The sequence below is a fragment of the Homo sapiens genome, chromosome 21 (assembly GCF_000001405.40).
Source record: "Homo sapiens chromosome 21, GRCh38.p14 Primary Assembly".
Taxonomy (NCBI): Eukaryota; Metazoa; Chordata; class Mammalia; order Primates; family Hominidae; genus Homo; species Homo sapiens.
In genome coordinates, this window is record NC_000021.9 from 31,362,697 (window position 1) to 31,388,856 (window position 26,160).

General features: G+C 43.7%; 1 protein-coding gene across 8 annotated transcripts in view, besides 1 other annotated feature; it reads right to left on the reverse strand.

Moving 5' to 3' along the window:
• The window catches only part of TIAM1 (TIAM Rac1 associated GEF 1), a 440,670-nt gene that overhangs the window by 244,279 nt on the left and 170,231 nt on the right, over positions 1-26,160 (reverse strand). The gene's annotated exons all lie outside the window — the stretch shown is intronic.
• Positions 3,733-4,932: an enhancer, noted in NCBI's record as "CDK7 strongly-dependent group 2 enhancer chr21:32738744-32739943 (GRCh37/hg19 assembly coordinates)". NCBI's record gives its function as "activates an origin of replication core promoter dependent on BRD2, BRD4, P300/CBP, MED14 and CDK7 cofactors, with strong dependence on CDK7, by STARR-seq in HCT116 cells {active_cell/tissue: HCT116}" and the evidence as "EXISTENCE:reporter gene assay evidence [ECO:0000049][PMID:35650434]".

Here is a 26,160-nt window from a genome sequence, read left to right on the forward strand (position 1 = left end):
CCTCAAGTGATCCACCTACCTCAGCCTCCCAAAGTGCTTGTATTACAGGCATGAGCCACTGTGCTCAGCCAACAATTATTTTTAAAGCAATGCTAGTCCATCACCCCTTAGGGCAGGGAGCGCTCACTCTCATTCTTACTTACACTGTAAGGGGGTTTATCATTGTATTTTCTGATTAGGATGCCCTACAGAACAGGACATCGAGTTCTCTGATGGGTATTTTTTTTGCATAGGATTGGTGGAAGAGACTATTCCTTTCCCCCTTTATTTGTAATGTTTTCCTCTGTACTGCACCTCCATACTTCTTCCACCATCCTTAACCACAAGATGGGCACAGGATCCAGCTGGGATCATTGTTGAACCTCAAGCCCTGTACACAGTGATTGGTCCAGGGGTGGGTTCACGATCGATATTAGCTAATCAGAGAAATTCCTTGGGAATTTTTTTATTTTAAAACTGCGGACGTCAGCCTAAAACTGCTGGCAGCCATGCTTCTGTTTGGTTCAAGCTGGCCTGAGAAGAACTAATCTGATCCAGGGAAAACAGGGATGAAAGACAGAGAGCATTTGATCGTGTTAACTTCCCTGGGTCCAGCTGTCCCCTAACCCCAGCCTTACCCTGACTGGTACACAGACAAACGTATTCCCACTTTGGCCCTAAATCAACTTAGGTTTCTGATCCTTACAACCCAACATTCTAACAGGACCGGGATTTTGTTTTTTTTTCTGGGTTTTTTAAATGGTTTTACTGCTGATGTTGTTTTGCAGGGGTAAGAAGCAGAGAAGATCTGCTCCTGTGATCCACAACACTCCTCCATACCACATATTTGTGCAAAAACATCTTGTTAGTCCCTAAGCTTCCTCTAATGATGTCTTTTAAAACTGCACCTTACATGTCTTCTCCTTGATTAACACCCTTGTTTATTACCTCATTCAATCCTCCTTTTCCCTTTTCCAAATGCTGAATGATCACACGATGAATGTCTTAGATTTTTCTCTCTTCTGTGAAACTGCTGATCACTCCCAAATTAAGAATTAAAAATGGAGCAGCTGCAGACGCTTTGCTAGCATCCAGATTACAATCTTAGAGTTCTTCCAGAAGAAAGCTCTCTGTTTCTGAGGAAACTCTGGTTGGTTGGGGGGCAACCCAAGGAAGTATCTCTGAAACCACACAACATGCAATGAAACCACAGGAAAAAAAGGGGGAGGGGGTTCTTCCTGTGTATTTGCTGAAGTATTTTGCTTTAAGAGAGATCAGTGGTGTTCAATTTCAAGAAAGAAACACCCATGAGGAAAAGTGCAGAGCAAAACAGCCCCAGGACATCTCTACCCAACACACAGGCCTGCTGGTGTCACTTGCATTGAACTTATACATTTCTTCATTATCCTAGTAATAAAGTCTGTGATTTCAGCATTTTACAGGAAGGTAAAAACACATTCACAATAGCACTAGCCGATAGCTTTCTTAAGTAACTGCATGGTGAGCTTCATAGTATCCCCCGTTCCTAAAGACAGATTAGAGGCCCCAGCACTGCACTGTTTCAGATTTCTGTGGGCCACCAAAAATAAAAAGCATCCCAGGTGGAGTAAACTTGTTAACCAAAGGGCTACTTAAAAATAAAATTGCTTGTAGAGAGCTCTCTTACAGCTTAATGAATGAGGCACCATTTCTCAAACTAAGATTGTGATCAAATGAGAAACCCTCCAAAGACCTCTGCTGAATACCTCACTTACACTCAAGCCTCCGCAGAGGGAGCCAATGAATGAGCCCCCAGCAACTGAAGTGGGTGTGGGGGAGTGGAGAAGGTTATATTTGAGCATGTGATGGTAGAATTGAGAAAGCACTGAGACATCAGCCACAGATGGAGAGGAAAGAGCAGCTCTACCTATAGGAATTGTTAATAAGAGTTCTGTACTCTCTATTAACAAATCTTGGAACAGCTGACACCATGATGGCCAGGGACCATGGATGGACGGATGGATGGATGGGTGGATGGATGGATGGCTGCATGGATTGATTGATGGATGGATGGACGAATGGACAGACTGAGTAAAGAATGGTGGCAGTTACAGCTGAGTGGGTGTGTGTTGATGGGGGAGGAAGGACAGAGGACAGGCCAACCACACCATAATTGTTGAGTAATGGCACAGTCCAGAGTGGGCAAAGTTTTTCTTTAAAGAATCAGATAAATATTTCAATCTTTGCGAGCCATATACTCTCTATTGAGCTCTGCCCTTGTTATGTAAAAGCAACCAAAGACAGTAAGTAAATGAAAATGACTTTGTTCCAATAAAACTTTATTCATGAATGCTGAAATCTGAATTTCATGATTTTTACATGACACCAATTATTCTTCTTTTCCCCCCAGCCGCTTAAAAATGTAAAAGACATTTTTAGTTCAAGGATCTTACAAGAATCAGTGGAATTTGGCCCTCAGGCCAGAATTCAACGACCCCAGATCTAGTCTCCAAACACGCCAGTCACTCAGGATAGTGATCAGGAAAGAAGATCTCCCCAGCAGATCCTGGGAAGAGATCTAACACAACGCACATTTTCTATTCTGTGCTCTGTATATACTTCTCCTTCTGTCTTTATTGCATAATTCTCCATGGATGTGCTGATGTTTCCGTCTTGTCCAATGGGATATAGGAAGCACCTGCTGGCAGGGTCTGTGTCTCACTTATTTCTTTCTTTTTTTTTTTTTTTTTTTGAGAGGGAGTCTCGCTCTGTCGCCCAGGCTGGAGTGCAGGGGCATGATCTCGGCTCACTGCAAGCTCTGCCTCCCGGGTTCACGCCATTCTCCTGCCTCAGCCTCCCAAGTAGCTGGGACTACAGGCACCCGCCACCACGCCTGGCTAATTTTTTGTATTTTTTAGTAGAGATGGGGTTTCACACCATGTTAGCCAGGATGGTCTCGATCTCCTGACCTCGTGATCCACCTGCCTCGGCCTCCCAAAGTGCGGGATTACAGGCGTGAGCCACTGTGCCCAGCCTGTGTCACATATTTCTAAATCTTCAGCACTTGGCATAGTACCTGGAACATAACAGGTGCTTGAGAGATATTCCCTGAATCAAACCATATTCCCCAACAACTGCAAGATTTCACTGTCAAAGTATGACATAAGGCCGGGCACGGAGGCTTATGCCTGTAATCCCGGCACTTTGGAAGGCTCAGGCAGGTGGATCACGAAGTCAAGAGATTGAGACCATCCTGGCCAACATGGTGAAACCCCGTCTGTACTAAAATATACAAAAATTAGCTGCACCTATAGTCCCAGCTACTCAGGAGGCTGAGGCAGGAGAATCACTTAACCCGGGAGGTGGAGGTTGCAGTGAGCCGAGGTAGCTCCACTGCACTCCAGCCTGGAGACAGAGCAAGACTCTGTCTCAAAAAAAAAAAAAAAAAAAAAAAAGTGTGACTTGAAAGGCAATCCACCTTGATACCAGGCATCCCCTATCTGATGTCACAGCCATGAATACTATGCCCTTGGCCCTTGGGATGGTTGACAGAGGTCATAGGAAGTAAACCGTACTCATAACCTTGAAGCTGGATTTCACCCTTTGCCAAAAGCAACTCTTAGTTTGTCACATTGTAAAAGGCAGGAAACCAGTTACCTTATTCTTGCCATGACCACACAGATGTTACTTAACTTACGCATGTCCCAAATGGAAAGAAACATATCCATCCGTTAGCAGAGAATGAAAAACATGTCACCCTTTGGCTCCTCAGTTTGGGAATTGATGGGCAATGAACACACTCCTGGTTCCTTTTCTTTCCCATCCATCTCTCCCTCCAGGCCATCCATCAGGAGAAAGCTCAATGTCATCTTCATGGTGAGCACTATGTAGCCATATCCTACAGGCTTTCTTTGCAATACTTAAGTTTCCAAGGAAGGCAGAGACTATTAAAAAGAGGATGCTCAGGGGCTTTCTTTTTTCAGACAGAGTCTTGCTCTGTCACCCAGGCTGGAGTGCAGTGGTGCCATCTTGGCTCACTGCAACCTCCACATCCCAGGTTCAAGCGATTCTCCTGCCTCAACCTCCCGAGTAGCTGGGAATTACAGGCATGTGCCATCATGCCTGGCCAATTTTTCTATTTTTAACGGAGACGGGGTTTCGCCATGTTGGCCAGGCTGGTCTTGAACTCTTAACCTCATGTGATCCACCCGCCTCAGCCTACCAAAGTGCTGGGATTATAGGCGTGAGTCACCATGCCCAGCCTCTTTTTAACACTTTACTGGAAATCTTGACTAGAAGTATGCCAGGGTCAAATCTGTATACAAAGGGAATACAAAGAACCACAGGAGAATCTGTAAGGAAATGACTCATGAGTATTCAGATTTGGATGGGTCCCAGAAAATAGCTCCAGAAACATAATTGCAATCCCAGGCAGGAAGCCAGGCAGGCAGGTAAGCAGGCAAGAAGTAAGGAGAGAAGGAAGGAGGGAGGGAGGGAGGGAGAGAGGAAAGGAGGAAGTGAAGAAGAGAAGAAGGGCACAAACAGAGCAACTCACCTGGTTCATCCTCAACCCCCACCTGCCCCAGCAGTCTTTCAGTTGCAAGCCCTATGAACAGCAAAGGGGACACAGAGCTGGAAGAACGCCACTATTGCCTTTCTCTAGGTAGGTCTGTCAGTAACTCTTTGCTTGATTTGCACCAAGACTTAGTTTCCCAGTCAACAGAATGGGACTAGAAGTACCCAGACCAACAGGCCGAAATAACCTCATTCTGTACATTTTTGAAATTCACTAGTTATCCATTTTAAATGGCATTTGGATTCTTTTTTTCTTTGTGAAGAAGTCTCCATAGCAACTGAACTTGAATACCTTGGTATTCAACCCAAACTTACCTACCTAATAAGTTTGGCAAGAATGTTTTTATTCTTTTCTTACCAAAGGCCACATTTAAGAGGATCCAGAAATTCTGACAGGCCTCATGCATTCTATCTGAGACCAAAGAGCAGACAACCAAGAGACCTGTTTATCAGCAAAAGCAGCAACATTCCGTTTCTTCGCCATTTGGGTAACTCTGTCCTTTATCAATTACAGTCCTTGACAGACTCATTCCTATTCGTTACCTATTTGTTCTTGTGTGTTGGTATTATATTTTCCACATCCTCATGGGCCACTAAATTATAATATTTTAACTTCAAATGACGTCTAACTTGGAATCACGTAATCAATATTACTTTACTGAGTGTTTATCTTCCCTAAACTGCTTCATGGACCACAAAAGAAGACCTAAAAAACAACATCTGATGCTCAGTTTCAATGGATCAATGAGCTGAACCCAAAAATAGCCACTCTAGAATATTCATGAGAGGCCTCTCAGTATAACTGGAAACTTCATACCAAGTTTCACTTTCAAAGAATTCATTTTAAAACATGTTCTCTGATTTTAAACTCAGTTATTTATATGATATTAAAGAGACTTTAACCAACTTGATGGCAAACCTAACAAAAGATGTCTACCAATTATTTTAACTTCATCAAAGGTTTTAAGGGAAACTATTTAAGACATATTAACAACTTCCTATTTTGTTCCATAGGCCCCATTCTTAAAAGGCTCCTCAGGGCTTTAATATTCCATAATATTAAAAGGGCTTTAATATTCCATAATAATTTATTTTACGCTTTCTTAATAACCTTTTCTCAAACTCCAGGTGAATCATTTCTGCAATTTGTTACTGTTTGTAGCTCAACAAATTATTCATTTGAGCTGGCTGAGCCACACGCATAACATTTTTAATTAGAGTGCCACAGTTGACTTCAAATCCAAAATATCCCAATCCAAAATTATTCTGTAGGCTTCGGATTTGCTGCCAGGAGTCTAAAAAGCTAAAAATAGCGACCAAACTTTCACATCACAAGGCAGAAAAAAGCATTTCAAGAAAGCGTACAGGCTTCAAATAGATGCGTGAACAGATCCCAAAAGGCAGGCATAGGCTGACAAGACTTCAGATTTGACCGTCCCCAGTATACTTATATTTGTAAGAAGAAAAGGACGGGAGAAAAACTCAGTAAAACAGCAGCTCATAATGATAAGCTACATAGAGTAGCAGCAGGGGGAAATATGGCAAAACTGGTAAAATACAAGCGTCTAGACTCTCTTTAGTATAAAACTAAAGATATTAAATTAGCATGTCAATTTTGAACAAATCTATAATAATGCAATCAGCAAACTTCAGAATGTAAGATACTTTACAAAGCAAAGGACTTGGACTCTTAAGTAAAGAGAAAAGAGAAGAAAGAAAGGGATGATAGGTCGGGCGTGGTGGCTCACGCCTGTAATCCCAGCACTTTGGGAGGCCGAGGCGGGCGGATCACGAGGTCGGGAGATAGAGACATGGTGAAACCCCATCTCTACTAAAAACACAGAAAATTAGCCGGCCGTGGTGGCGGGAGCCTGTAGTCTCAGCTTCTTGGGAGGCTGAGGCAGGAGAACAGCGTGAACCCGGGAGGCGGAGCTTGCAGTGAGCCGAGATTGTGCCACTGCACTCCAGCCTGGGTGACAGAGCGAGAATCCATCTCAAAAAAAAAGAAAGAAAGAAAGAAAGGGATGATAATGAGGAAGCTACATGAGACTGAAGGTACACATGCATCAGTTGCAAGGTGCTTTGGTCTCAATGTCTGTGTGCCCTTCAGATTCATATGCTGAAATCCCAACCTCCAAGGCAATGGTATTAGAAGGTGAAATATTAGATGGTGGGAAGGGTAGGAGGGAAGGGAGGATAAGGAAAGGTTGCTTAACAGATACCAAATTACAGCTAAATGGCAGGAATAAGTTCTAGAGATCTATACCACTATAGGGTGACTACAGTTAACAATAATTTATTGTACATTTTCAAAAAGCTAGAAGAAAGGATTCTGAATGTTCCCAACGTAAAAAAATAATAAATGTTTGAAATGATGGATATGGTAATTACTTTGATTTGATCATCACACATTGTATACTTGTATCAAAATATCACTCTGTGTCCCATAAATATGTACAATTATTACATGTCAACTAAAAATAAAAGGAAAAATACATTTAAAAGAAGAAGAAGGGTTAGGAGGCTGAGGCGGGTGGATCACAAGGTCAGGAGTTCGAGACCAGCCTGATCAACATGGTGAAACCCCGTCTCTACTAATACAAAAATTAGCTGGGCGTGGTGGCACGTGCCTGTAATCCCATCTACTCAGGAGGCTGAGGCAGGAGACTCGCTTGAACCCGGGAGGCAGAGGTTGCAATGAGCCAAGATCGCGCCACTGCACTCCAGCCTGGGGTAGGACTTTTGGGAAATAATTGGTGTCCTTATAAAGGGGGCCTAAGAGAGACCCCTTTCCCTTCCACCACATGAGGACACAGTGAAAAGACAGTAGTCTATGAACCAGGAAGCAGGCCCTCACCAGGCACTGAATCTGCCTTGGTTTTGGACTTCCAATACCCAAGAACCATGAGAAATAAATTTCTGTTCTATCTAAGTTACCCAGATTAGGGTGCTTTGTTATAGGAGCCGAATGGACTGAGACACAATGTATGGGTGTTATTTGGATCACGATTCAAAAAGATGAGCTGTTAAAAAATTATGAGACAGAGGTTAAGTTTGAAAAGTGACCATATGCCTGATAATATTGAGATACACAGGCAATATGGCTTTTCTTTTTATTTTTTGAACCCAGACAGAGGCTGGAACAATATGGCTTTTTTATGTTCTTATCTTTAGCAGTATATACAGATGAAATGAGAGCATATCTGTGATTCATATACAGACAACCCAGTATGGGTATGTGGGTGTGTTTTTGTGTGTGCACGCGCATGTGTGTGTAGTGACTGCAGGCCAAAGTAGATTGGCCACAGGTTGATATTCCCTGAAGGTGGGTGATGAGTATGTGAGAGTTTCTGTGGGGGTTTATATACTATCCTCTCAATGTGTAAATGTTTGAAATTACCCACAATAAAAAGGTTTTCAAAAAACAATATGTACAAGACATACTGCGGTCTATATGCCCAGACTATACCTCTGGGTGGCCTGAGGGTGTGTGTGGCCTGCAGACATATTTTGTTTGGACAGTGGACTGTTTAAAAAAATGTTGTTTCCTTTTTGATCCAATATTTAAAAATAAGAAGACTTCACATAAAAATTAGGATTTCCAACTAATCTTGAAAAAATAGAAAGATCTGGCAGCAGTAGGCTATAGCAACAAGCCCCGGTATGCAGCCTGTGCCGCCCTCTCTCAGACCCAGCACCCACACATTTCTGGGGCCTCCCTGGTCTGTGGCCATTTGAGTTTGGCCCCCAGTGTCCCAGGCTTTTCAGAGCAGCAACTCAGTGCCAACCTCCAGGGACAAACTTTCCAGAATGACTGTGTTCTTCTCTCAGCCCAGACTCCTAGAGCTTTGTTTTCTGACCAGTCATCAAAAGTTCCTGACAACAACTTCAATTCAAGCACTTGAAGAGTTTTAGTTTATATTACACAAAGCGGTGATTCAAAACATATGGGTAGTCAACAGACTGGAAAAGAAAACCCCAGAGTTTCTGAAGTTTATTTGGCTTGAGGACCTCTGGCCGGTTCTGCCGACTCTCCTTATCATTCAGGCAACAGGACTGGCTCCTGTCTTGCTCCACAGACTCCCAGAATGCAAAGGCAGGAAGGGGGCTAAGAGCTCATTTAGTACCTTCCTCCTCATTTTACGATGAGACTCAAGCCAAGGGAGGTTGAGTAATTCATCCAATCACTTTCCAAGGGGTCTCTGGAGGAAGGGATGGGAAAGAAAATGTAATGTAAGATGGAGTGCTGACAGCTCCTATACACATGCCAGAGTTACTGGATGACAATTTGTTCCTGCATGTTTTTACTCCCTGCAAAGTACTTTTCCAGTATGATTATGGAACAAGAGCAACGTTTCTCTAGAAAAAGATAGATTTTCAACCTTAAAAAGAACTAAGGGTTGAACCACTTGGGTCATGATATTCCTGTTTAATGGACCACTCTAAGAGGAATGACCGTTGATGAGGTCTCCTGGCACCTAACTGATGTTCCTCACTTGTACAATTACTTGTCATCAGGCAAGAAGACAAATAAGAGGAAGGACAGGAAAGTCCTTCTAACTCCTCAGGTTCTCTGAAGACTCTTTTAGATCCTAGACTCTTCATAACGGCTCTCAGACTCATTCACCCCTTCAGCCCGGCTGAGTCAAAGGAAATTCTCAAGGTCATGCAGTGGCCACCATATTTGCAGAGCCCACCCTCGGTGAACTTGGGTTCTTCCCAAAGTGAACTCACCCAGTTAACAATAGACTATTCTTGAAATTTAATTAATTCAATGGCAGACAAGCCAAAAGAAGAGAAATTAAAGCAACCCTGAGGCAATATGAGTTTGCACAGTGGAGTACATGTAATACTCCCAGCTCCCCAACGCGGAAGGCTCATTTTCCTCTAGTTCCACCTCATGGGCTGGCACATCCCATCAGCTTTCTTATCACTTCTGATGGGCTTTAAGTTAGCAACTCTTTTCTCCCATTAAAAATGTAGGAAAACATCATCAGATTTTGTCATCCAAGGTCTATAGGCACCATAGCAATCACTTAGCTGGGGTTCCCCGGCTTTCTGGGCATCAAAAACTGGGCTTGAGGAGCTCCTTCTGGGCCAGTGGTCACAGGTTATATCACATTAATTAGTCTGACTCATAATTGCTCACCACCACTGTTAAGCTGAAAAGGTTTGAACTGAGTGCCCAGTAGGAAATATGGAGGCTTTGGAGCCTTAGGGGGGCATCTGTGACCAACCCCTGCTCAGCCGGAACCTAAGAACCACGAGAGCAGTGGGAGAGGAGCCACAGAAATCAGTCTGGCAAGAGAGGGCCAAAGTTGAAACTGAGACAGTGGCCACAGAGGTGAAGAGAAGATGTGGACAGGAAGGGGCAGGCGAGGGTAGGGGTGGGGGCAGGGTTTGAAAAACTAGGTAGCTAGAGAGGCTATGTACCAACATGACATAAAAGATACAAAACTGGCTGGGTAGGTGGCTTACACCTGTAATCCCCCAGCACATTGGAAGGCCAAGGCAGGAGGATCACTTGAGACCAGCCTGGGCAACTCAGTGGTGCGGTGGCTCACACCTGTAATCCCGGCACTTTGGGAGGCCAAGGCAGGCAGATTTCCTGAGGTTGGGAGTTCGAGACCAGCTTGACCAACATGAAGAAACCCCATCTCTACTAAAAATACAAAATTAGCCAGGCGTGGTGGCGCATGCCTGTAATAGCAGCTACTCGGGAGGGTGAGGCAGGAGAATCACTTGAACCCGGGAGGCAGAGGTTTCGGTGAGCCGAGATTGCACCATTGCACTCCAGCCTGGGCAACAAGAGCAAAACTCTGTCTCAAAAAAAAAAAAAGAAAAGAAAAGAAAAGAAAAAGAAAGAAAAGAAATTCCTTCTCTACCAAAAACAAAAACAAACACAAAAATTAGCTGGGCATGGTGGCACGTGCCTGTGGTCCCCCAGCTACTCAGGAGGCTGAAGCAGGAGGATCATTTGAGCCCGAGAGGCAGAGGTTGCAGTAAGGTGAGACTATACCACTGCACTCCAGCTTGGGATACAGGATGAGACCCTGTCATAAAATTCCTTTCTTTTGCTCTGCATTAGTCTCTTTTCACACTGCTGATAAAGACATACCCGAAACTGGGAACAAAGAGAGGTTTAATTGCACTTACAGTTCCACATGGCTGGGGAGGCCTCAGAATCATGGCAGGAAGCGAAAGGCACTTCTTTCGTGGTGGTGGCAAGAGAAAAATGAGAGACAAGCAAAAGCAGAAACCCCTGATAAACCCATCGGATCTCGTGAGACTTATTTATAAGCCAAACCATATCATGCTCATATAACAAATATGCCTTGAGCACCTAACATATGGCAGGTACTGTGCAAAGCACTAAGATACAAGAGACAGCAGAAAAGAACAGGGAAGAAACAGAAAGAGAGGCAGGAGGGTGTCTGGAATTTTTTTCTTTCAGGGGAGTACTAGAGATGAGAGAAGAGTAATAAGCCCATTCAGAGAGATGCTGAGTTAAAGAGAAAGCTGATGAGCAGAAGAAACTAGAGAAAACTAATTCAAGAAAATGATCAAATCTAGCCATGCGTCTACATAAATATACTTCCTTTTCCCCCATCGTTTAAATCAAAATCCCTCTTACCTGGTCGTTCCCTCTTCCTCTCCCCACTCCTCCCATATCCTCAAAGCTGCCATCACCTACAACAGCTCCCTCTGGAAGCAGCAGCATCCTCTCTTCTCACTCAAGCACAGCCCCAACCAAGGTCACCAGAAGCCCCACCCCCACCACATCTGTCACTCTAAATGGCCTTTCCCCTCCTTGGTATCTGGGTAGCCCCTGAAACCACCAGCCATGCCCTTGTTGGGGAAGCCTCTCATTTAAATTCTGTACCAATTACAGAAAATTCCATGTAAGTTCCAGACCCAACTCGCTCAGTGCTTGGCGCTGTGAAGAATGCCAACACCGAGTATGGAACCCATTCCTCCCAAATGGCACAGCTGGTGTGCAGCGGGCAGGGGGCGATCCCATAAAACAGATACTGGGTGCTGGTAAGAAGAGGATGGGAAGCAACCACTGGGCAAACGATCAAAAACTATCCACTACAGCATCCAAGTTTCCTTCCTGTAGCTTTGACAATTTCTTCCCAAACTTCCTCCGGCTCCCTTTCCTTCTCCCACCTCATATACCTACATATACGGAATATTCTGCATCTGTCCCTCCAAATGCCCATTGGAACTCTCAGCAACTTCACACATCTACTGGAATCCAGCACTCAGGACTAAAGGATCGGATATCCTCCCTCCCTGACTCCTCAAATTGACCTGAATCTCAAGGTGGAAGGAAGAGATGGACAGGAACAGGAGGGGCTGTGAAACTCAAGACTCCCTGGGACAAGCTGACACTTGCTCTGGGTTCCCACCCATCACGCTGCTCCTGCAAAGAAGTTCATCCCATCAAACTGAAGGAAAACATCAGGTTCCCAGCAGGGGGACAGATTGTTCCAAGGCAATATGGGATAAGACTTGGTTCCCAGAATTTATTTATTCAGCTTCTAGGACCAAAGCGACAACTAGCCAACTGATAATTTTGGAATATATTTATAAAAGAAAAACAAATATTCGTTATTCCTCTGGGCCATTAAATTATTTTAAACAGATAATACCCTCCTTTAAAAAAAGATTAAATTTCTATTTTCAACCACTAAAAATGAAGTTTGGCATAGATTCAGTGATGAGGGGAAGCAGAGAGAAATTTAGCAAGAAATGGCAGAGAAAGGGTGAAATTTCTGGTCTTTACATTAGACACAGTGACTCAGATTCTTTAGTTTTTCACCTTGTACTAGAATTCTCTGTATGTTTTTTACACACAGCAGAGAAATATACCCACTTTTGAACTCTTAATTTTGGCTCTTTATTCTTTACTACTAAATAATATTCTAAGAAACATCCAGTATGCGGTTGGCTTTCACAAACATTTCAGATAAATAAAACATCAGAAAGTCACTGTTTAATAGAAAAAAAAGTGATTTCCAATTACCACCAACATTCTAACAAACACAAACAGAGCAAAGCCATCTACCTCCAGGCAAATGTGGTGTTTGGGTACAAAAATGTACATGCATTTGTGCATGAATATGTATATATCTCCGTGTAGTATACACATATACATGTGTATGTTCAAGTAATAAAGACTAAACAATGGGCAAAATACCAGAATTATCAGAATCACTTTCAGTGGTAAGTAAATAACAATTATTTTCCCCTTCGTCCACCTTTCTGTTTTTTCAACTTCCCACCATGTTCATTCATATATAGAAAAGGAAAAATCAACAACTTTATTTTTTATCACACATATGAAGATGTATGTTCTTATAAGGTATGCTCATCTTCTTATATCAAAAAAGCCAGGCACTAAATAGAAACCTATACATCCTGTGCCACCAAAAAAACCCATAAATTGCAAAGTGAAGCTGAGTTTCTCTTTTTTTTACTATATGCAAACCTGTTTATTAAGAGTAGAAAAAAGGCCAGGTGTGGTGGCTCACGCCTGTAATCCCAGCACTTTGGGAGGCTGAGGCAGGAGGATCACAAGGTCAGGAGTTCGAGACCAGCCTGACCAACATGGTGAAACACCATCTCTACTAAAAATACAAAAATTAGCCGGGCATGATGGTGGGCGCCTGTAATCCCAGCTACTCGGGAGGCTGAGGCAGGAGAATCACTGGAATCCAGGAGGCAGAGGTTGCAGTGAGCTGAGATTGTGCCACTGCACTCCGGCCTAGGTGACACAGTGAGACTCCACCTCAAAAAAAATTTAAAAAAAAAAGAGTAGAAAAAAATAGAGTCCTTTGTGTCAAATTGCTATGTATATGCTTAAGGGCAAGCATTTCGTAAACGATACTGCCACATCCTACCCTTTGTTTTTTGAGATCTCTGGTTCTCTATTTCCTTAATTGTGCTTCCCCACATAGAGCTAAAATGAGTAGCATGAACAGATGTATACATTCACACACGCATGTACACATGTGCACACTCACACACCATCCCTGATAAATGCATCTCAGTCTCTGACCATAACACCAATCACCAAGAACATGATTCTCCCCAAACCATAGGTGCTATCTCAGGCTCCTGGGCTCACTGTCTCGCACTCCACGGTATGCAGGGCACCCAGGTTTCCGTCTGCACCCTCTCCATTTCATGTTTCCACAGGGAAAGACATACAGTGTTTAAAGCAAACTCCTGATTATGCGTGCTAATGAAGGCAAACATTGGCACAGATGCGTGTTTGGCACGAGATTTCCCTAATTGCATTTTGCTTAGGCTACCATCAAAATTAGTTAGTGCTCCCCCAAACACACGCACAGCAGAGGGAGGAGGAGATGCCCACTGAAAGGACTTGTGGGTGATGGAGGGATGGCTAAACTGTGACATCGGCCTCAAATAAAAGAACCTTTTCCATACTCAGTGCCTACATGCTGACTAATGTCATGTTCAACTGGTCTTTAAAGTGCAGAGGAAATCTAGAATGCCTTCTGTAATATCCTGGATGAATGGTAAGTGATGGAGCTCCAATCTAGAAAGCACAAAATTTTAGGCAACTCCTTGCTCTGCTTCTGAGATAGGAATTTTTACTTTATTTTATTTTATTTTTTGAATCAGAGTCTCACTCTGTCACCCGGGCTGGGGTGCAGTGGCACGATCTCAGCTCACTGCAACCTCTGCCTCCCGGGTTCAAGCAATTCTCCTGCCTTAGCCTCACGAGCAGCTGGGATAACAGGCGGACGCCACCATGCCTGGCTCATTTTTGTCTTTTTTTTTTTTTTTTTTTTTTTTTAGTAGACACAGGGTTTTACCATGTTGGGCAAGCTGGTCTTGAACTCCTGACCTCAAGTGATCTGCCCACCTCAGCTTCCCAAAGTGCTACGATTACAGGTGTGAGCCACTGCACCTGGCTGAAACTTTTTTTTTTTTTTTTTTTAAGATAGATTTAAGAGATGCCTTTCTGCAACTCCCACCTGCTGGAGAAACTCAGACCAATTCTCTATCATTTCTGTATGGTAAGCCTTCAAATAACAGAAGAAAGTGGTCCTGTCTTCCCTTACTGCTTCTTCCTCCGGGTAAGCTGCTACCCTTGGCAGGGTTTCCTGTCACCATTTTGGTTCTGCTCGTCTGACTACTCAACTCACTCAAGGTCTTCCTTAAAACACTGACCATGGAGCTGGCTCTAGTCCTCAAGGGCTGGAGTGCCCTCCTGAAAATTCAGTGGGATCAGGACACTATGCTCCCCTTAGCCCAAGAGTGGGCTCATTCATCTGCAGTGACTACATCACGCCTCTGACAGACACTGATGCCAAGCCAAACCCTTCTGTATATGTACAACAATTTATTCTTTTTGTCTCATTGTCCTCAAACTGTACAGGACATCACATTCCTGCTTTTTAAAGGTTATCTAGCAGGTTTCTGTCTGCCATCCTAGGCTACTAAGGGTATTTAGACTTTGTACTGAAGATCCCGCAGGGGTCTTCTTGGATACCACATCTCCCATCCAGATGCGATATCCAGTTCAGAAACAGTCAGCAGCTACATTTTTCACTGTGTCCATTGAGGAATAAGAAAAAAAAAAAAAAGTGGGCCAGGTGCGGTGGCTCACACCTGTAATCCCAGCACTTTGGGAGGCCGAGGTGGGCAGATCACTTGAAGATGGGAGTTCAAGACCTGCCTGACCAACATGAAGAAACCCCGTCTCTACTAAAAATACAAAATTAGTCGAGCATGGTGGTACATGCCTGTAATCCCAGCTATTCAGGAGGCTGAGGCAGGAGAATCACTTGAACCTGGGAGGTGGAGGTTGCAGTGAGCTGAGGTCATGCCATTGCACTCCAGCCTGGGTAACAAGAGCGAAACTCTGTCTCAAAAAAAAAAAAAAAAAAAAAGTCATTAAAAGCTGCAGGAGAGAGAATGACATAAATAAGAAGAAACAAGATAAGCCAAAAGAGCCACAGAGCCCAGAATCCTGGGGGCCTCACCATCCAGCACAATCCCTAGATAGGTAACATTACTGTTCATGTTAGCCAGGAGGCACCTTATGTCTTCAAAAAAAATTAACACCAACCTCCTTTAAAAAAAATTCACATGATCTTGGCTTGATGTATGTTATTTGCAAACAGGAGTCCTATCTAACATAGAAACTATTCTGGTAGAAAAAGTCAGTGTCCCACATAAAGTACCTTGCCAATTTCTATTAAGGTATTGGGCAGTCTGTCCTACCAGTGTGATTCACTAATTAACTTTCTTTGGTACGTTCCAGCCTGCTTCAAATCCGCAAGGATCCCTGCTCTCCAAAGGGCATTTTAGTATCTTAACCCTCAAGGCTTTTAACCATTTTACTCCCATTTCTACTTGGCTTCCCTGATTCCCTGAAGACAATCTTTTTCCCACTCATACTCGCTGCCACACAATTTGGCCAAGAGAGTTGGTCTTCGGTATCCGTAGGTTCTGCACCCCTGGGTTCCACCAACTGCAGATCCAAAATATTTTAAAAAAGGAAAAATAGATGGTTGCACTGCATCCGTACTGCATATGTACAGGCTTGTTTTGCTTGTCACTATTCCCTAAATAATGCAGTATAACAACAATTTACATAGCATTTACATTGCATTAGGTATTATAAGTAATCTAGAGATTGCTTATAATATATTGGAGAATGTGCATAGGTTTTGTGCAAATACTAAACTATTTTATTTGTTTTATTTTGTTTTTTCAATTGAGATGGAGTCTCGCTCTGTCGCCCAGTTGACAATGCAATGGCGCAATCTCGGCTCACTGCAACCTCCATTGCCCGGGTTCAAGCGATTCTCCTGCCTCAGCCTCCCAAGTAGCTAAGATTACAGGCACCCGCCACCACACCCGGCTAATTTTTGTATTTTCAGTAAAGACAAGGCTTTGCCATGTTGGCTAGGCTGGTCTTGAACTCCTGACCTCAGGTGATCTGCCCACCTCAGCCTCCCAAAGTGCTGATATTACAGGCATGAGCCACCTCGCCTGGCCTACACTATTTTATATAAGGAACTTGAGCAGCCATGGATTTTAGTATCTGTGGGGGAGCAGAGGTCTGGATCCAATTCCCCACGAATACCAAGGGATGACTATACAGTGACATTAATGAAATAACATCAATGAATAATTTCTGCTTCCAAAAACACTGCACTATGCCCTAGCCAAAGAATCACCCAAGGTTGGACTCTAGGCAAGTTATAAGTAACTCTAGACTCCAAATGGATAATAGAAGACCCAGTCCTTAAGAAAAAAAAAAAAATGTGAAAACGTATGTCCACACAAAAGCTTGTACACAAGTTTCGTAGCAGCATTAGCTGTTATGGCCAAAAAGAAAAATAACCCAAATGTCCATCAATTAATGAGTGGATAAATAAAATATGGTACAGCCATACAATAGAGTATTACACAGCAATAAAAAGAAATGAAGTACTGAGACACAATACAACAAAGATCAACCTCAAAAACATGCCAAGTGAAAGAAGCCAGTCAAAAAAGACTCCATACTGCATAATTCCTTTCATATAAAATGTCCAGAACAGGAAATCTATGGAGACAAATTAAATGGTTGGGGTTGGGGATTGGGTGAGAAGAGCTGGAGGGAAATACGGATGGCTGGTAATGGGTACAGAGTTTCTTCTGTCCTAAGAACAATTTTGAGGATGGTGGCAAAACTTTATAAATGTACTAAAATTATGGAACTGGCAGGGTATGTTGGTTCATGCCTGTAATCCCAGCACTTTTGGGAGGCTAAGGCAGGCGGATCATTTGACTCAGGAGTTCAAGATCAGCATGACCAACATGGTGAAACCCTGTCTCTACTAAAAATACAAAAAATTGGCCAGGCATGGTGGTGCACACCTGTAATCTCAGCTACTCGGGAGGCTGGGCATGAGAATCGCTTGAACCTGAGAGGTGGAGGTTGCAGTTGGAGCACGCCACCGCACTCTAGCCTGAGCGAAATAGTGAGACTTTGTCTCAAACAATAAATGTTAAGTGGCTCACGCTGTAATCCCAGCACTTTGGGAGGCCGAGGTGGGTGGATCACTTGAGGTCAGGAGTTCGAGACCAGCCTGTCCAACATGGTGAAACCCTGTCTCTACTAAAAATACAAAGTTAGCTGGGTGTGGTGGCACATGCCGGTAATCTCAGTTACTTGGGAGGCTGAGGCAGGAGAATCACTTGAATCCAGGAGGCGGAGGATGCAGTGAGCTGAGATCACACCATTGCACTCCAGCCTGGGCAACAAGAGCGAAATTCCATCTCAAAAAAATAAAGTAATATAATATAAAGTAAAGTAAATATAAAAATAAAAAAATTATGGAAGTGTACATTTTAAATGGATGATTCGAAAGGGGTATGAATTATAGTTCAATAAAGCTGTTTTTTAAAAAATCCATCAGAGGATAATTAATCTATTACCACAGTATAAAGAAAAGGAATAGACTCAATACCCTACTTTTTTTAGTTCATTAAAATGTGGGTCAAAATCCTAAATTTAACATATCCACAATGTTCATAAAGCAGTTTATATAGTTAATTCCATATAATTTGCATTGTACCGGATCGGTTAGGGACAGGGGCTTTAGAATAAAACTAGGTTTAAGTCCCAACCCCTTCACTCACATGTTGAATGACCTGGGATCCTCCCCCAAGCCCCAGCTTCTCTATAGGTAAAATGAGGAAAATAATAGTGCTTCTTTCACCGATGAGTGAGTACCTGACACAGTGCAGCACTCAAACAGTAACTTTATAAGTAAATAAATAACAACAACAAAACCAAGTACTTGTGTGCAATATACTAAACCTTGCTAGAAGACACAGATAATACAGTCCCTTTCTTCTATTAGATTATGACACCAAGCTGACTGTTTAGTGCTGCAATAATAAGAATGCTATGGACTGAACATCTGTGTCCCCGCAAAATCCGTATGTTGAAATTCTAATCCCTAAGGTGATGGTATTTGGAGGTGGGGCCTTTGCGGGGTGATTAGACATGAGTGGAGCCCTCATGAATGGTATTAGTGCTCTTATAAGAAGAGACACTACCAGCCTAGACAACATGCTGAAACCCCACCTCTACAAAAAATAGACAAAATTAGCCAGGCAGCCGGGCACAGTGGCTCACACCTGTAATCCTGGCACTTTGGGAGGCCGTGGCAGGTGGATCACTTGAGGCCAGGAGTTCGGGACCAGCCTGGCCAACATGGTGAATCCCTGTCTCTACTAAAAATACAAAAATTAGCTGGGCATGATGGTACACGCCTGTACTCCCAGCTACTCGAGAGGCTGAGGAACAGGAATCACTTGAACATGGGAGGCGGAGGTTGCAGTGAGCTGAGATCACGCCACTGCACTCCAGCCTGGGCAACAGAGTGAGACTCTGTCTCAAAGAAAACAAAAAAATAGCCAGACATGGTGGTGTACACCTGTAGTCCCAGCTATTTGGGAGGCTGTGGTGGGAGCATCACCTGAGGCTGGGAGGTCGAGGCTGCAGTGAGCCATGATCACACCATTGCACTCCAGTCTGGGTGACAGAGTAAGACCCTGTCTCAAAAATAAAAAACAAAAAGAACAGACACTAGAGACATCCTCTCTCTCTGCCATGTCAGGATATATATAGAGAGAGGCTGTCTTCAAACCAGGAACCCAATCATCAGGGACCTTGGTCTTGGACTTCCTCACCTTCAGAACTGTGAGAAATAAATGTTTGTTGATTAAGCTGCCCAGTTTGTGGTATTTCACTATAGCAGTTCAAACTGCCTAAGACAAAGACCAATAAAGCATTATGAGGAGAGACTTGTGCAGAAGACATTTAAACTGGGTCAAGCAGAAATTCTTGAATTAGAGAATGAAAAGAGGGAAGGAAAGGAACAAAATGATAAGCACATCTCCCATGCAATATGCTTTTGCTAACTCTTATCCAAACACCAGAGACCTCTGGGGCTAGATGTTTGAACGCTTATCAGCGCACTGTATATCCGTATGAAAAACCACAAGGTAACTAGAAACCATTGGCTAAAATCATAGGTGACAAAAGGCATGACTTGAGATTTACGCCGTGTCTAGAACATAAGGGCAGAAGAAAATAAAAAGCAGACAGATTAATTGTGTATTTTGACCAAGGTACAAGGATCAAATAGATACATTTCAATTTCCAATTTCCACATTTCTGATCATTAGCTACCACACTCCTATGTATCTCATGAAAGAAAGCAAGAAATGAATTATCTCAGAGCCAAACAACCTCCTGACAACTCTTTGATCTGTTTTTTTCCGAAAGACTGACTACCTCCAATGACACTGCTCTCTGAAAAGGCAATTAATGAGACGGATGTAGCACACTGAATGAGAGGATTGAAGTACCTATGCTTTTTCTTTTGACAGTTTATAAAACAGATTTTTTTAACATGTCAGTCAATTGGTGATATTTTAAATGAGATCACAAAAGTCAAGGTCTTTGCTACAAAAAACACGGCAAACAAACTAAAAAAATTAATGAAAGCATGTGATTCTAGTGTGAAACAACGACCCATGTGTCATTATTGGTTCAAGAAGTATGCTTTTATGCCTTCAATATGGAAAAGTAATCAATTTCACCTTGGCGAATTACCATTATGCACTTAGGTTTAAACTAGATGTCTCAATATTATCAATATCTTTTAGAAGTGTAAAACATAGGCCAGGCGTGGTGGCTCACACCTGTAACCCCAGCACTTTGGGAGGCCAAGGCGGGAAGATCACCTGAGGTCAGGAGTTCAAGACCAACCTGGCCAACATGGTGAAACCCCGTCTCTACTAAAACTATGAAAATTAGCCTGGCGTGGTGGTGGGCACCTGTAATCCCAGCTACTCGGGAGACTGAGGCAGGAGAATCACTTGAACCCAACAGGCAGAGGTTGCAGTGAGCAGAGATCGTGCCATTGCAGTCTACCCTGGGCAACAGAGCAAGACTCCCTCTCAAAAAAAAAAGTGTAAAACATAATAGTTCCATAAATTCAGAATACTTAAAAGAGTAAAGCTTTTAATCCCAGCCCTGTCATGATCTAAACATACAGTGATTCTCTGAGTGCCAGGGGCCACTAAGCATTACAAGGATTGTGCAAAATGATGTTCATTGAATACCTATTATGTACCCGACCCTAGGCTATATCCCACTCCCCAGGAACTCAAAAGTTGGTAGGATGAGTCCTTTCCCAGGCACCTCTTCACACTTCAACAGTTCTTTCACTCAACCTTACAAACAGGCTCAAAATGGGCTTTCAGAGATTCGCCAAACTGATACTGGCTTGTCCACCAACACTGTACACCTATCTCTTTCAGGCTGTCATTTCCACGGACAATTCCTGACATGCCTTGGGAAAGAAAACCTCCTGTATCTACATGGGACTACAGGTATCACATCGTATATATGTATCTCCATACCTTGTATCTATCTACTACATAAGGTTACACACCAACAGGACGTGTCCATGTAAACAAGGTAGGCATGAGAAATGAAAAGCGAGCTCATTACAGTATGTGGGGCACTCGATTTCTTTAAGACCAGCTTCATTTGCTGTGATTTTCCACTTTCCAGAGTGAAAACCTGGAACGGAAAATGAAACGATGTTTCCAAGGTTATGCTGCAAATCATCAGAACAATCTGGGCCAATGGACAGGTTTCTAGATCTGACAGCTGCTCCTCTATCTGCTGGGACCTGCTGTTTCCAAATTATCATATGCAATCGAGCACCTCAGGAGCAATGCAAATTGCTAAAATCTAAGTAGAGCAGGTGAAGACATTTGCTGGCTGACGACCATATTCTTGTAACGCACTCTGGGGCCACATATCCTGTGGTGTTCATAGATGCACTTCCAGTCTCAAGCAGGGGACTGGGCACCTCGTAAGTTTAATGAACAAATAAGGCAATTAAGATACTCAAGGAAATATATAACATCTGAAGAGGATGGAAATAGAAGTAATCAAGCAAACACATCATCAAATGAAAAAAAAAATGTCAAAGATCAAGGGGGAAGATACCCAAATTAAAAATGTTTTCCCTGGGAGGCCAAAGCAGAAGAACTGCTTGCAGCCAAGAGTTCAAGACCAGCCTGAGCAACATGGCAAGACCCCATCTCTACAAAAAAAAAAAAAAAAAAAATTTAATTAGCTGGCATGGTGGCACGCATTAGTAGTCCCAGCTACTCAGTAGGCTGAGGTGGGAGGATTGTTTGAGCACAGCAGCTTGAGGCTGCAGTGAGCTATGATCACACCACTGCACTCCAGCCCGGGTGACAAAGCAAGACCCTGTCTCTAAAAAACAAAAGAAAGAAAGCTTTCCCAACCTCCTTGAATTATTCTGTATCGTCTCTTGTACTTCAGGATCATACAGCTTGAGTTTGCTTTAAATTTAAAAACCAGAATCTACAAAATATCTTACCTTAAGTCCCACAAATAGGTCAAGAGCTGTCAGTGGAGACCCAAGAGGGTTGCACAGAAGGGCTACACATACCACTAATGGAACAGGAAACCATTTTTAGTGGTACATGGAAAACCATGTTTCATCTTTACAGTTATAACTATTTTTCAATGTGTATTAAAAAATGTATTAGTAGCACATTAAGCCCATGACATCAGGACTAGGTAAAGTAACCTCACACCCACACAAGCACACACACACACTGATATGATTTGAATGCTGTCCCCTCTAAATCCTTTGTTGAAATGGAATCCCCACTGTTGGAGGTGGGGGCTAGTGGGAGGTGTTTGGGTCATAGGAGATGCCACATGGCTTCATGCTGTCTTTTTTTGTGTGTGTGAAACATGGTTTCGCTCTTATTGTTCAGGCTGGAGTGCAATGGCGCGATCCAGGTTCACTGCAACCTCCGCCTCCCAGGTTCAAGCGATTCTTCTGCCTCAGCCTCACAAGCAGCTGGGATTACAGGCACCTGCCACCATGCCTGGCTAATTTTTAGTATTTTTAGTAGAGACGGGGTTTCACCATTTGACCAGGCAATGCTGTCCTTTCAATAGTGTGTTCTTTATAGATAGATAGATATAGATTTTTAAAAAACAGACTTTATGAGGTTAATGACTATTATCAACCATCATAAAATAGAATGGGACTTTCAAAATCATACAAGCCACAAGGCTGTGGGCTGCTACGAAAGAAGGGTGGGGTCAAGGGTCCCAAGGCATTTTGGGGTGCGAGATGCAGGGAGAGCCTGAGAGTCACCCAGTGTCTGTAGGGACGGTTGGGTCAAGGCAATAAGCTAGGATCTGTACAAGTGAAACATTCATCAGAATGTGACCCACCCTGAAATAGGAGGGAGGAAAATCTTTAAGAGTTTCACAGGTAAGGTCCCAAAACTACAAAATAATAAGGGGGTAATGTATATTCCTCACCCAGTCTTGGCATCAATTTGTGCTTTAAAAAATATACTGCACTGGAAGATTTAAAAAAAAAAAAAAATGTACCCTACACCAGCTGTTTAAAACGTAAATCTTATGAACAAATATGTATATATAATAAATTTTAATAATATTTAATTTAAAATTAAAATGTTTAATATATTATATATTTATATATAATACATATTGATTATATATTAATTATATTAGTTAATATAATTATATTAGTTAATATAATTAATATATTAATTGATAATATATTAATGTTATTTATACTGGTATTAATATATTATATATAATATATATAATAAACATTTTAAACAAATAACTGTATTGTGCCTATGCAGAAATGAACCAAAATTAAACTCTAAGAGAATTAACTTCAAGGTCAAAGCAAGGACGAAGGTGGTGGCAGATGCTGGGGTATGCTATGTGGAGGGGCTGCCAGGGACAGGGCATCCCTCTCCTGCCAGCAGCCTGCGCCAGCTATCTCGAGGCTCTGAGAGGGGCTGTGATGAAATGGGGCTGTTTCCCTGGGCCCGCAGCCCTGGCACGGGTGCTGAGCAGAGACTTGTGTTGGCTTCTGTGAGGCTCAACTCTGCTCCTGGTCTCCCCTATCCTGCCCTGCCCCTGGCTTCTCAGGGAATGGAGACCCACTCACCCTCCCTTCTTGGTTCTGGGGGTCCCCTGGCATGCCCAGAGCTTCTGAGGATGCACTTGGGAAATCTCACCTAGAAAAGCAAAAGCAAAATCAAACCCACACCAAAAGACCCATAGAAGATTAAAGAAATGCAACCACGTGCAAAGGTGTCTAAGCCCAAGAGGTAAGTGGCTACCTGGAGACATGGAGGAACTGCCGCAGCCCTTCCAGATGGGCCGCTAAGACACCCATATTGCATGTGAGGCTATTTCTCCCTGAGGGGACTACTTGGGAACTCGGAGCAGAGACCCCTGCAAACTGCAGGGCAAGGGACCCAAAGACATCCTTGTGCCTGTGCAAGTGTCCAACATGTGCCACAGGTATGGCCCAGGGAGGACAGGCCAGGTACATACATCTTAGGGAGGGCACGGGTGGAAGGAAAGTAACAGCCAGAGAGAGGTGACTGAAACAAGGTTTTGCTTCAAGAGGGAATCCATAAATGGCTTTTGCTATTGTTAAAAGAATAACTACAGGATACAGGGGCACTGACAGCCGGAATGGATGCTGGGAGCTTATTTGCCTGCGGAAGGTCCTTGGTTTCTGCCTTGGTGTCCAGGGTGTTTTTGACGTCCTGAGCTTTATCTGCTCCGGCATGGCCCCGCTGGGCTGGGCACCCATGGCCTGGCACCAGCCCTTGTCTAAGCACCTCTTAGAACTTCTGGTATCTGCTCTCTTAGCTGTGGCACCACCTGCCAGACCCACCACCCTGGGCCCCCCAGGTGGCTACAGCCTTCTCTTTTCCCAGAGATGTGGGGAGCCCCCGTCCCACCCCGAGAGCAGACTGAAGCTCAATACAGGGCTTTTGTTTGTAGAAGCTTATTCTCTTTTTTTTTTTTTTTTTTTTTTTTTGGAGGTGGGGGGCACAGTTGAGACAGGGTCTCGCTCGTGTCGTCCAGGCTGGAGTGCAGTGGTGCCATCTCAATTCACTGCAACCTCTGCCTCCCAGGTTCAACCAATTCTCCTGACTCAGCCTCCCGAGTAGCTGGGATTATAGGCACCCACTACCACACCCGGCTAATTTTTATATCATGGGGTTTCGCCATGTTGACCAGGCTGGTCTCGAACTCCTGACCTGAAATGATCTGCCCACCTTGGCCTCCCAAAGTGCTGGGATTACAGGCATGAGCCACCGAGCCTGGCCTGTCTTTTTTCAAGGAGAGGCTGTATATGGATGGTGTGCAGGGACACTGTCTTCTGACGATGTTGGGAAGGGGAAAAGAGGAATCAGTCCTTGTCCCACGGAGGTAGCCAGCAAGGATGAAGGGGAAGACCAAGGACTTCTCTCTACGGCTGCGGACGCTGGTCCAAGGCACAGGGTGCCAGCCCCAGTGGTGGGCGGCTCTGTAAGTTGGTGCCAGGTGGCCGTGCATAGTGGCCCGTGGTGAGCGTCACTTGGGGAGGAGGTGGGCCTGGAGGGAAGCCGGCAGCAGCAGTGTGTGGGTCTCTCCCAGGCGCACCTTCCCCAGGGGCAGGTGCATGGAGTGAAGTCGCCTCCTCCCAGTGGCCCTGATGAGGAGGCCTAGAGCCTGGTTCCTGCTGCAAGCACGCAGGCTGCCCGAGCACGACTTCTGTGACACAATGGTGAGTTCTCATGAGATCTGGTTGTTTAAAAGTGTGTGGCACCTTCTCTCACTCTGTTGCTCAGGCTTTCACCATGTGACATGCCTGTTCCCGCTTCACTCTCCGTCACAATTATAGGTTTCCTGAGGCCTCCCTAGAAGCCTAGCAGACGCCGCAAAAAGCTTCTTGTGCTGTCTGCAAAACAACGAGCCAATTAAAGCCCTTTTCTTAATAAATTACCCAGTCTTAGGTATTTCTTTATCCAACGCAAGAAGACCCTAACACACACACACACACACACACACACACACACACACACACACACACAACCTCTTACGTGAATACGGTGAATCTGATAAAGAAGGGTACAAATGCCAGAAGTTGATCTCCAAGATGCAGGGGACAGGGTGGTCAAGAGAAAGTGCAGAGCCGGGCATGGTGGCTCACACCTATAAGCCCAACACTTTGGGAGGCTGAGGCAGGAGGATCACTTAAGACCAGGAGTTCAAGACCAGCCTGGGCAATAAAGCAACACCCCATCTCTACAAAAAATAAATGAAATAAAATAAAATAAAATAAAGCCAAGCATGGTGATGCACACCTATAGTCCCAGCTCCTCAAGAGGCTGAGGCAGGAGGATCATTTGAGCCTAGGACTTGGAGGCTACAGTAAGCCATGATCATGCCACTGCATTCCAGCCTGGGTGACTGAGCAAAACCTTGTCTCTTAAAAAATAAAAAAAAAAACAGAGAAAGTGGAGGGAGCCAGGAGGCTGGATGTTAAGCCCTGCTGCTTATGTTTTTATGCCTCAATTTCTTCATCTGTAAAATGGGGATAATAATTGAATCTACATCACAGAGTTCATATGAGAATTGAAGAAATTAAAATAGTAAGCACTCAGCAAAAGCATTACCTATCACTATAA